The sequence below is a fragment of the Homo sapiens genome, chromosome 13 (genome assembly GCF_000001405.40).
Source record: "Homo sapiens chromosome 13, GRCh38.p14 Primary Assembly".
NCBI classification, from domain to species: domain Eukaryota; kingdom Metazoa; phylum Chordata; class Mammalia; order Primates; family Hominidae; genus Homo; species Homo sapiens.
This window is the reverse complement of record NC_000013.11, coordinates 21,994,331-22,007,427: the sequence shown is the minus strand read 5'-3', so window position 1 is coordinate 22,007,427 and position 13,097 is coordinate 21,994,331. Positions and strand designations below refer to the sequence as shown.

General features: G+C 44.6%; 1 annotated feature.

The window, feature by feature from the left end:
- Positions 8,412-8,581: an enhancer, noted in NCBI's record as "experimental_32608 CRE fragment used in MPRA reporter constructs". NCBI's record gives its function as "activates a minimal promoter by MPRAs in K562 erythroleukemia cells, with activity observed for the introgressed 13:22573071 variant allele {active_cell/tissue: K562}" and the evidence as "EXISTENCE:reporter gene assay evidence [ECO:0000049][PMID:34662402]".

Below are 13,097 nucleotides of genomic sequence, written 5' to 3'. Positions count from 1 at the left end.
TGCCAGTACCAGTAATATTTCCCATTCTCATGTCCCACTATTTTCTGTTTATATATTTACAGAATAAATTCATAGTCTACCTAAAATTTAGCTGTAAAACTTATGAACTACCTTAAAGTTACTTATTTTCAAAACTTATTTTCTTAGTGAAGAAAAATTACATTCCTGTAAGAGATGCATAAACTAAGAGCCATTACCCATTCAAGAGTCATAATCTACAATCAGCTTGCTGGCGTGTGGCACCTCACACACACACCTCACACACACGCACACACGCACACACACACACACACACACACTCTCTCAGCAAAGGCCTCTGAGTGCTACAGCAGACCAGGTCAAGACCAGGAAGTCCTATTCTACAAACTATAAGAATTCTATTTTCTTATATATATATATATACACACAATCTGTGTTAATTAGGTCTTTGATGTTCATATAATAAAGATTTTGTTAAATGAGTTCCATCCTAAAATGAACAGGGAAGATCTGTCTCTTAGGATAAGAGTAGAGAAGAAGGAAGCAAGGGTTATCTACTGTTCTATACCATGCTGTGTTGGGTTTCTTTATTTCTCTCTATGGATGTGTGTCTATGTGACAGAGGGGGAGAAAGACATTGTTATAGAGAATAGACTCTCCTATCATGTTTTTAATCATTTAATATTTGATTGACAGAGTTAATATCACCCTTGTTTGTCCAAATATCTAGAATGTCCTTTACTATCTACTAAATAGTAAAAATCTACTGGATGCATTCTGAAGGTCTCTTTGGGGACTCAGAAGACATTTTGGAATCTTGCAGCATTTCAAAGATATCATCATAAACAACCATTACTGGTGTATTAGCAAAAAGCAAAGATCCAGGACACTAAAGATTTGGGGTCAACAGAATGGCAGCAATAAGGGTTTCTGCAGATTTTAAAATCACATTCATCCTAAGAGCTCAAAATTCTTCCAAAAACATAATTTATCTCTACACCCCACTTACGATGAGGGTGGAGACAATGTCTTCTCACTTTGTCCATGGAGAAATGGAAGCCTAGATACATTCAGAAATATCCCATCATGTACAACAGACACTCTATCATGGAACTCAGATTAGGCCCCAAGGCTGCTGGTTCCTGTGATAGCATCTCAGCCAGAAAATTGCTGCTTTCAATAGAGACGAGTGGTAAAAAACAGGGGAATTTATGTTCCAGTTAGCTGGAGCAGAGATAAACCAACTGAGTTAAGGATTTGACATGCCACACTGGAACATCTAAAGGGCAAGGCTGTCTAACTTTCGGATAAGAAATACTTCACTTTTCAAATATTTGTAATTTATTTTTTTAAGACCCATTGGGAAAATTCAGGAATTAGAACAAATGAGAATCTCCCAGGTTATGAATGCGGTAGGAAGTCTAAGGACAGCCATAGTGTCAAGCTTCCCCCGAAACTAAATGAGAGTATAGAGAAGGCCACAGGTAGGAAGGGGCCCGCTGTTGAAGCACTGCCAGCTCTTGGGACTTCCCGCAGGGAGGGGCTTCCTAAAGAAAGAAGCTGGTGACAATTTGATTGGGGTGACAAGAACATGGCAGGAATTATTTTAAATCATTTGCACAGCAAGTACACTGCATTTACTTAGAATTAGTGTTTATTTGGGGTGGTTTGAAGGTAAAATAGATGGGGATTATGGGGAAGAAGCACTAAAACACCCAACCCCTCCATCCATCCCATGGCTAGCACTGTACGATAGGTGTCTTTGCCCTAATCATTTGACTGGGGGCAAAATCTATTTGTTTAAGAATTAGGCAAAGGTAGCATTTATGCTGAATGTCAGAGACAGCCTGGGAATAGAAATCATTAAAAAAACCGTTGATAGAGGAGAGAGGGAATTCTCACGAATTTACAGGTTCCCAAAAGAAAACACTGGCAATGGATTAGTACCCAGGCCTGCTGTGGATTGAGAAGGCTCTCCGTGGCCTGTGGCTTTCACTCTAGTTATAAAGCTCCATAGGCTTTCTGTTCAAAATCCCACCACCAGACACAGTGGTTTGGCCAGAGGCCTATCCAACAGAGAGATGTGCAAACCTATCTCCACCCAGAACACTGCCTCCCCTCCTGACACCAGAGTACACAGGTGAGGCAGTCACTCACAGTCAATGAAAATTTTGGAAAATCTGAGAACTTGACCCTTTGGAGGACTAGCTACTGCCTTTAATTCATTTTAACTGAACTATTCCATCTTCATTGCTAGTTGTTGGTGCGGTGGTTTACTGACTGATATGCTGTAGGATTAACCTTTGTGAAAGTTTTTTTTTTTTTTTTTTTTTGAGACAGAGTCTTGCTCTATCACCCAGGCTGGAGAGCAGCGTTGTGATCAGGACTCATTGCAACATCCACCTCCCAGGTTCAAGTGATTCTTGTGCCTCAGCCTCCCAAGTAGCTGGGATTACAGGTATGTGCCATCATTCCCAGCTAATTTTTGTATTTTTAGTAGAGACAGGGTTTCACCATGTTGCCCAGGCTGGTCTTGAACTCCTGGCCTCAAGTGATCTGCCAGCCTCGGCCTCCCAAAGTGCTGGGATTACAGGCGTGAGCCACAGCGCCCCGCTGAAAGTTTTCTAATAAAAGATAATTTGATTTAAATGCATACGTTGCAATGTACATTGCCTGCTGCTATCCAACTGCAACTAAAATAGGAAAGGGATGGGCTCTGGCAGTGGGAACAGTGTTACCTTACACAGAATTAAATGCTGGGACAAGAATGGGATTCCCCTCTGGCCCATTGTTCCCTAAATATAACAATTATGCAAATTATTTTTGTGCAGGCTTAAGAATGCGCTGTAAGTGTTTTTGGTGGGCCTGGAAAGGCAGCCTTCCTAAAAACGGTAGAAATACTGCAATTAAATCATTTCAAGTGATTTGAACATAACATGGTGTTACCGTGCCCTCTTTGTAGTCTGCAACTACTGTCTTAAAGAAAGTATTAGGCTTGTATCCTTCTCAAGATCTCTGGTTAGGGCTTCTTATTTAAGAACAAAGAGAAGGTTGAACCTCTCATTAGAAACAAAGTTATAATTCAATGCTCCTGCATTTCCTCCAATGCATTTGGTGTTAGCGACATATCTATCAGGTGTAGGCTGTCATCCCGGGGATTCGATAAAACCATCATTTTGGCGAAGCAAAACAAAACAAAAATTTGGCCTTAGGAACTTGCGAGTCATCTCTGTGATCCTTCCAGCTGTGCTTTGCACTGGGGGTAATAAATCACGCGTAAATAATAATCACCAAAATTAAATGTGTGGATGTTGGATAACTCTTTGTCATTGTTACTCACTAATAACAGTAATTTGGTTGAGTAAATTGTATTGATATCAAATGTTCCTAGTATGCAGCTTTCAATTAGTAGGTCATGCATTCCATCTTCAAATGCCACATTTCACTGGATATTCCTTCCCTGATCATATTTTAGAGAGTCGTTCTTCCTCTAGTTTCCCAATGCCTTCTTCTCTCTTTTCTTTTTTGTTTTGTTTTGCTTTGCTTTGCTTTGTTTTTCTGGTCTAGTTTCCCTTTTATGGCCAACACTGTACTGAGCTGTGCCACCACAAACAGCCCTAATGCACAATCAAAATGTGTTGGTTGATGCTGCCAACAAGAGAAAGCTGTGTGCTTTCCTCATTGCCATGCCAGGGACCTCCATGCCCTCTCTTTCCACTATCTCCAGGCCCTCACCAACCGTGACCAGACGGGGCTTTGAACTGTCACTCACAGTTACGGAGTCCAACAAACAGTCATAGAGACTGAGTGTAGAATGGAGGACTGTCTCCATTGAGCATTTGTGGTTCTAGAAGCTCTCATAGTGTAGAGTCCCACATATCTTTGCACAGCTGCTCACATCAGCTACGTTTTTCAACCAAATACGGCAAGTCCACTCAAAGCAGAGCCGACGTGAATCATCCAAGATTCTGGTGGTGCGGAACCTGTCTCCCATTCGATCCCCAGTTCACATGGTGGCATTCATGGCACTCATTTTCCTTTACCCTTCTAGAAAAACAAAATGATAGAACTGGAGGTGAGCAGATGCCACTGCTATAGTCACTTGCTCCAAGACACACAGCAGCTCACTGGTTGGAGAGAAACCAGAACTGAAGGCAGCAGATTCCCAGCACAGAGCTTGGCCCCTCATGTTGAAATAACTTGTCACTATTCCTTTAGAGCTGGACGATGCACAGAAACCAGTTCTAGGCTAAACCTCTCACAGGACAGAGGCAGAAGCTGATGTCAAGGCAGCTGATAAATAAGCCATGCTCTTCAGAGGGCAAGCCTGGTTAGACAGAGAACCCTGGTGCCCAGCCTGGCTGTCTCCGGGCTGACTCTGACCCCGAAACACACTGGGCCTCTGGATATGACTCAAGGCCATCTTCTGGGCTGTGGATCAGGACTGCAGGTTAGAAGTAAAGTAGTCCACGTTTTAAAAAGTAATTTTTAAAATTTTTGAGGAACCACATTTTAAAAAGTAAAAAGAAACAGATAAAATGAATGTTAGTAATCTATTTTATCTAATTCCAAATATCCCAAATATTATTATTTCAAGGTGTAAGCAACATACAACATTGATGGGATATTCTACATTCTTTTTTCAAGCCAATGCTTTGATATCCAGTGTGTATTTGTCATTTTATAGCCCATCCTGATTTGGACCAGCCGCATTTTAGTGCACGTGGGCTTAGTGGCTGCCTGTTAGCCGGATTAGACCCAACTTCAGCTCCACCTTCAGCAGGCTCAGCAGCCTCCCGAAGGCAGGTTTTGTGGCGGGGACCACAGCAGATGTGCGAACTTCTGGCCAGGCAGCAGGCCCTGGCCACACTGCTGCCTCTAGTGTGACTCCTGTCTGTCCATGCCTCACCGTTAATACCAGCTTCAGTGTCCCTCCATTGCACAGCAAAGACTAAAAAGAATAATGTCAAATTTGTTGGGATAGAACCAGTCTCACAGTGGTCCCCAAGGTCTCTTCCAGCCCTCAGATTATGTAATAATGATGGCGATTCTGAAACTGATAATGTCTAATAGAATGCAGGGATACCTTCTAACCTGCACCTACTCTGTGCTAGAATTGCTCACGAAATAAACCATGGTCCTCCCTAGTGATGGGGGACAAAGTGGACACAACCATAAATTGTGTGGGCTAAAGGCAGGAAGTAAGGCAGATCAATAGCAGAGGTACAGCCGATCAATACCATCAAAGGCATCTCCCCGCAGATGGGAGCAACTTTCTGTAGACCTGGTGAGATGAGCAGATAGGACATCTTGAATATTACTGTTGCTTTTTAATATTATATATGTGATTATAATAGAAAAATGCTTTTCATTCTCAAACTACATGATGAGATCCCACAGGCTGGCACATCGCAGATACGACCTGGTAGTGTTGCTACGTAACTATTAAAACTAATCCCATATTAATTTAGCGAAACTATCACCCACATAGTCAATATTATATTTCCTGCTTCAAGAAGGAAGCCACGTGACTTGAAATGAGCCAGATATAGTTATTCCAGACCAGGTCTCTGGACACAAAACCTATAATTCATTATGTCAACAGGAAGGGCACACAGCACTAGCCACTCCACAGTGACCAGACGGTGCATGGTGGGATCACCTGAGGCAGCCCCACGGGGTGTCTCTTCCACAGAGAGACAACCCCAGTCAGAGTCTGCAAATGACATCTCTGGACGCTACGTCCGTGAGAAACGTATGCAGTGGGCACTCAGTCTCTGTGCCTCCAAATAGCTGTGGCTGTGCACTAGCATGGTGTGAAAAGAAAGGACCTGGGGAGGGGTTGGTGTAAGAGAGAGAGGAACTCATCCCTGTGGGCAGTTATTCTACCAGAGCTTTGAGGCATTGTGGGCCACAGCAGGCAGGCTCCCACTGCCGGGCAGTAACTCGGAGCACTCTTAGCTCATCCATCTTGCCCTTAAACAGCTGGCAGTGGTTGAGGCTAGAGTTCGATTGCTGGCATGTTTTGTGTTATCTGCTTTGAGTTCCTTAGCTCCCAATGTCACCCACTGCAGCTGTGAAGCTCGGCCTCGTCAGAACAAATGGCAGAAGACTGCTGCCAGCCATGCGGGGACTCGGTCCTCCAACAGATCAGTCCCTCCAACTCATCTGGGCAGAATGGCAGGTCCAGGGTTGTCAGGTCTTTAAAAATGCCCACATCCTATCATGGTCACAGTAGTGAAGCCAGAATGAGACCACCGCTCGCTTTCTCATTCACAAAATCCATTTCCTGTCTCAGGTCCAGAACTTCCAGCGTTTGGTTCTGTTCATTTCCCCCTGGATCAACACAAGAGCTTTGAAGTGAGGCAGCCTGGTGTGGCCCTGGTTAGGTGTGCGATCCTGAGCAGGCTCCCCTGCCATCTCACAGCAGTGTGTTTATGAGGATTAAGCAAGTCCATAAGCACTCCAGCACTCCACATTGGTGCCTAGAAGCTGCCAGCACATGTAACCTATGCCTATTCCGTTCTTATTACCATTACTACTACCATCACCATAATTACTGAAACAGGAAAGGTTCTCTTGTCCCCCTCGCAGGGTGTGTGATGGGATGTGGCTCACTTCCTCAGTGCCCCACTGCTCAAACATCTAGGGGAGCATACAGACGGGCAGGCTGTGGGGCTCCCACCCCACTGCAGTGTCTAGGAGTTAATGTTTACAGCTCTTGAAGCCCCAGTGGGTGTGTGTTACAGGATGCTCTTTTAGTTTTGCTGTCTATAGGCGGCTTGCGTTAACCAGCTCAATTAGACCCTCTAACTTGTGGCAGGGACAGAGGGCTTTCTTTATCCCTGCCTTGGTGTACAGGATGAATCGGATCACACCTGGGCTTGGAGAATGAGTGCAAGGTTTTATTGAGTGGATGTAGCTTTCAGCAGATGGGCGAAGCCAGAGGGGATGGAGTGGGAAGATTTTCCCCTGGAGTCAGGCTACTCGGTGGCCCGAGTTCTCCTCCAACTGCCCCAGTCAAACTTCATGTCGCTCTGCCGGTCAGTGGCCTGCCAGCATGCCGGTTCCATCCAGCGGCCCGTGTGTTCCTCTGCTGATGTGCTCCTCTCCACATCCAGCCACCCGTGTGTCTGCTTGCTAGGGTCTCTCGGGTTTTTATGGGCACAGGATGGGGGCATGGCAGGCCAGGGTGATCTTGCGAAATGCAACATTTGGTCAGGAAATGCCTGTCCTCACCTAGGTCCAAGGGGGTAGAGCCCTAGCCAGGGACCATGCCTTCCTCTAACCAACACTTTCCCATTATGTGTTATTTAAAGGGACCACGCCCTTCCCTTCCCAGCACTTCCCTTCCATATCATTACTAGGAGAGGGGGTGCAAAAAGAAGCACAAGTCAGAATAACCCTGGAGAAGGTCCTATCCATTTCAGAGAAGACATGTGAGACCACAGTGAGCATTCAGTGTGGCGCTACCCAGAAATGGGGCCAGCGCAGAAGCACAGCGACATCACTCTGCCTTCTCCTGGAGCAGAGGAGCAAGTTGAGAAGGACTGGGAGCAGGCCTGAAATCCCAGCTGGGCATGAAGTGTGCTTGTGAGGGCCAGAGCAGGCTTGGCCTCAGCGAGGTGAGAGCTGAGGAAGCCCTCTTGCCTTCCTGCACCCAGATTCTGGAGTGGCCCACGTTCCAGCCACAGCTTCTGTCTCCAGCCCGCCCTTGGATTCTCCCTCCTCCACCTCTCTTCTTTCCCTGAAATCTCTCCTCCACAAACTACTTCAGAACAAGACACACTCTTCCAACTTCTCACCTGCTGGCCCTGACTGAAGGGCTCAAGCATTATGACCATTTTAAAGAGATGTTTTTTCAAATACTAACAACAAGAAAATGTATGAATATTTTCAACAGAAAATTTACGAATATTTTCAACAGAAAATTCAAGGAACAGGCATCATAAAAGACACTGTGTAGCCAAGAACGCTTTGGACGGCCAGGGAGGAGCTGGGTTGTTGCTCAGGCTTTGGGACCGACTGGTCAGGTGAATGCAGGTGTCTCAGATCACATGGGAAGCAGGAGAGGCAGGAGAATGGTGGTCCAAGCTGCGTGCTCCCAAATAGCAAACAGTTCTCTTGATCAGAAATCCCTAAGGCCTCACAGCACATATTGGGCTCTCTCTTGACATGTCTTGATGTCCAGGCTCCAGACACAGCACAGAGCATTTCCTCCCAGCTGCCAGCCCCTCCTGTGTGCTGGTGAGCACAGAAGTGTGCTTGAGGCTCAGCTGAGCACTCAAACCAGCTGTCAGGCAGATGAGGGGAGCATTAAGTCTCTGATATGCCCTGGCATTCTCTCCAAGAGTGGCGTGAGAAGGACTGGTCTGCTGCAAGGGACTGGCACTGCACAGGGAGAGCCCAATTCACATCAAACAGGAGAACACTGCAACCCAACGGTGTATTTTCCCTTGCGCACTTTTTCCTTTCAAAAGCATTCATTTCAGGAATGATGCTTAGCTATCAGAGCACTGAACACAAAATCCAAGATAATGTGGGCCCTCCTAGTGCTAGAAACACAGCCCTCTGAATGCTCAGGCTTATTAAACTGCCTTAATAACATGCCTTTTTTTTCCCCTCATTAACTATTTCAAAGTTAGTGACTTTGTGGGATCCTGGGGGAAGCTGTAAAAGGCAGATCAAACGAAACAGTCTCTGCCCATCCCAGTCCCTCCACCCTCTGAGCTCCCTGCCCGTCCATTACCGTAGAATGCTGTTTACAGCCCTTTTCATCTCTCACTACCTGCTTCTGAAGAGGAATGGGGTCGGCAAGAAAAGGGCAGGAGGAAGGAAGTCTGAAGCCATCGAAGGCTGGGCATAAAGACAGCAAATGAGGCAGAAGCGAGCAAAGGGAAGATCCCTCCTGCCTGGGGCTGAATTCCCCATTCTCTCCAGCTTGCTGCAGGTCCTTCACACAAGTCTCTGCTCTGGAAGGCTCGAGTTGCACTTCATGGACTGGGTGTCTGGACCCCTACTGGACAGCTCCCAGTAGGCACAGATGCCGTCTCTCACTTGTCAGGGCTCCTGTAGCCTAGCTCAGGCCTGTGGAGGTGCTCCCGGAAGGGTTGAATGGGCAGAGAACACGCCAGTCAGGGGCCCTTGGGAAAGACACCACGGGAAACCCACCTTCATTTTTCTTTTTGAAAAATGAAAATGCTGCATAAGACGACTTCTAAGGTCCCACCAAGTCTGCTGAGGTTTTACTATAGTGCATGCTCGTTACAGAAAACATGGAGGACACTGAGAAGAGGGGCCGACTGCCCACCTCCCTATCAACCAGTGCTGTTAGTGTGAGTTGGGACATTTACTTCCAGAATCTCAAAACTGCACTGAGCTTTGAAACTTCATCCAAAAGGAAATCAGTTTGTCTAAGAGATATCGACACTCCCATGTTTATTGCAGCACTATTCATGGCAGTCAAGATTTGGAAGCAATCCAATTGTCCATCAACAGATGGATGAATGAATAAGGAAAATGTGCTGCATACACACCATGGGGCACTATCCAGCTGTGAAAAAGAAAGAGATCCTGCCTTGTGCAACAACATGGATGGAATTGGAGGACATGATATTACGTGAAATAAGACAGGTACAGAAAGAAAAGCTTTGCATGTTCTCACTTATTTGTGGGAGCTAAAAAATTAAAACAATTGAACTCATGATGATAGAGAGTAGAATGATGGTTACCAGAGACTGAGAAGGACAGTGGGGAAGTGGGGATGGATAATGGTACAAAAATATGGTTAGATACAGTGAATAAGATTTAGTATTTGATAGCATGACAGGGGGACCACAGTCAGCAATAATTTATTGTCCAGTCTAGAATAACTGAGGGAGTACAAGTGGAATGTTTGTAACACAAATAAATGATGAATGCTTGAGGTGATTGATACCCCACTTACACATTGCATGCCTGTATCAAAATATTTCATGTACTCCACAAATATATACACCTACTATGTACCTACAAAAATCAAAAATTAAAAAAATTAAAAATTAAAAAAAGACTGGGCGCAGTGGCTCACGCCTGTAATCCCAGCACTTTGGGAGGCCAAGGCAGGCAGAAGCTGAGGCAGACGGATCACCTGAGGTCGGGAGTTCGAGACCAGCCTGGCCAACATGGTGAAACCCTGTCTTTACTAAAATTATAAAAAATATTAGCTGGAGATGGTCACAGGCACCTGCAATCCCAGCTACTCAGGAGGCTGAGGCAGGAGAATCCCTTGAACCCAGGAGGCAGACGTTGCAGTGAGCCGAGATCACGCCACTGCACTCCAGCCTGGGCAACAGAGCAAGACTCCATCTCAAAAAAAAAAAAAAAAAATCAGTTCATAGGAAGTCGTCCCTAGTAGGCGAGACTTGAGCAGGTCACTGTCCTGCAGGGCACTGCCATGGAAACAATGGGCCATGCCTTCTCTACAGAGCTGAGGATTAAGAGGCCTGAGGCCTCGACACTATGGCTCACTGTATTCAGGCTACGGGGAGAAAGCGAAGGTAGGAGGAACTGCCCACCACTCAAAATCACACCCATGAGGCAACCTGGAGCCACATCCTTCTCTGACTGAACTTTCTCCTTTTTTTCTCTAGCTGCAGAATCACAGGAGTGAAAAAGAAAAAGGAAGTTGTTGGCCAGGCGCGGTAGCTCACGCCTGTAATACCAGCACTTTGGGAGGCCAAGGCAGGCGGATCACGAGGTCAGGAGATAGAGACCATCCTGGCTAACACGGTGAAACCTCATCTCTCCTAAATATACAAAAAAATTAGGCATGGTGGCGGGCACCTGTAGTCCCAGCTACTCGGGAGGCTGAGGCAGGAGAATGGCGTGAACCCGGGAGGCGGAGTTTGCAGGGAGCCGAGATAGCGCCACTGCACTCCAGCCTGGGTGACAGAGTGAGATTCTGTCTCAAAAAAAAAAAAAAAAAAAAAAAAAGAAAGAGGAAGTGTGTGCTTTACCTTGTCAAAACTGAACAAAAATGTATATGTCTATTATGTATCAAGAAAAAATAAAATTTTTTGTAAAACTGAACTTACTATGTCCTTGAAGGAAAAGTCTTCTTGATTTATCCAAGGAGAAACGGAAACCCGTTGCTACCAGATTTCCTCCCAGTCAGGCCTGCACCCTCCCTCTTTTGGGTCCCATGGAGCTCTCTGGTCCACCAGCCAGGGAACACTTGCCACTTTGACTTCAGCTATGGGGATGCATGCCTTCTCCCAGGAAGTGCAAGCTGCCTTCTGATGATATCGGTCTTGGTGGCCTCACAGCCCTTAGCACAATGGGTGGTTCATAGGAGATGATTAGCAATTTTGTTGAACTGATGAATTAATTATAAAATTTGGTAAGTAGATGTGATAAATTTTGTATTGCTTAAGTCTACTTTGGGCATTTTGGAGGAATCTCCTTACCCTGTCTTTAAAATCTTTCTCCTTTCTGAAAAGTAAGATTTGGATCAAATTAATAATCAAATTTTGTTTGAAATCCACACGTTAGGCATGTTTTCTAACTCACAATTCCTACTGCACTTAAAACACCTCCTGTACTTTCCTTTCCCTGAAAGTATCTTGGTATAAGAGATGGCAACCTATATAAATCCAATTCTCTAGTAACAAGGTAGAAATTGCACTTAGAAAAAACTAGCTCATTCTGCTTAAATATAGCGATTTCTAGGGATTGAGTAATGTGGACATGGGTATATTTCTGGACTGTCTCCATTCCAAGACTTCTGTGGGTTCCTGAGAAGAAGCTGATGTTCTAATCTGTCTAAATTACCTAACGCTGGTGTGAGGATGGTCGAGTCAAAAGAGCTGCTAAAAACAACATCAACAACAGCCATTTCTTCCAGAAAACTCAAAGAAACCTTATGGATATATACTCAATAGGCATCAGGACATTTGTAAGAAAAGAGCCAATGTAGGCAAAACTGAATAAAATAAGATGTCAATCCCTGTGACTCCCACGTACCTATTATCTAGTCATTCATTTGTTTAATTCTTCCTATTCAGCCTATAAGTGTTTCTAAGCACTTATTTCACTGGCGATCAACAGTAACCAATAAAATTCACTCATGAATCAACAGTTGACCACCAATTGTGTGTCAGATGATATACTGGGCACTAGGCTTACCAGGGTGAGCAAAAGAGCCATGTCGCTGCTTACAAAGGAAGTATAAATAAGTAAGAGAGGGGCCTAATATACGTTTGGTAATGAGCAAAGGCATCTTTGAAGTAACACCATTTGAGTTGAGAATGGAAGGCTATGTAAGAATTATCCAGGTAAAGAACAGGAGGAGTCTTCCAGGTTGAGGGAAGAGTATGTGGAAAGGTTGCAGGATAGGTGAAGTTCTTCTCACATCACATCCCTCTCACCCATTCTTCTGCCTCCCTTTTCCACTTTTAAGGAATTTTGTGATTACATAGAACCACTCAGATAATTCAGGATAATATCCCTATCCTAAGGTCAGCTGATTAGGATTCTAAATTCCAATGACAATCTTAATTCCCTTTTGCCAAGTAAACCAACACATTCAGACTCCAGGAATTAGGACATGGACATCTCCAAGGAGTTCATTATTCTGTCTACCACAGGGCATCTTCCTCTTGTTCCCAACAATACATGTCTGTCCCAATGTAAAATATATCTATCCCACTTAGAGTTCCCCAAAAGACTCAACCAATTACAGCATCAAATCAAAATCCAAAATCTCATTCAAACCTCATCTGTTCAAAAGTCCTGAATCTCATGATCTAAATAAGGTATGGGCAAGGCATTATGTATAATCCATCTGAGGCATGATTCTTCTCCAACTGTGAGCCTGTAAAATTTAATAAGCCAGTTATCTTCTTCCAAAGTGTGATGATGAAAAGGGCATAGGATAAGGGTCATATACATTCTGGTTCAAGAAGGGAGAAAACAGAAGATAAAAGAGGATTCACTGATTTACTTGTTGGTAAATTCTACCAAATAATTAAAGAATAAATCATGTCAATAATTCACAAACTCTTTCATAAAATTGGGGAGAAGGGAACACATTCTGGTTTGGTTTATGAAATTGACATCATCCTGATACCAAAGTCAAA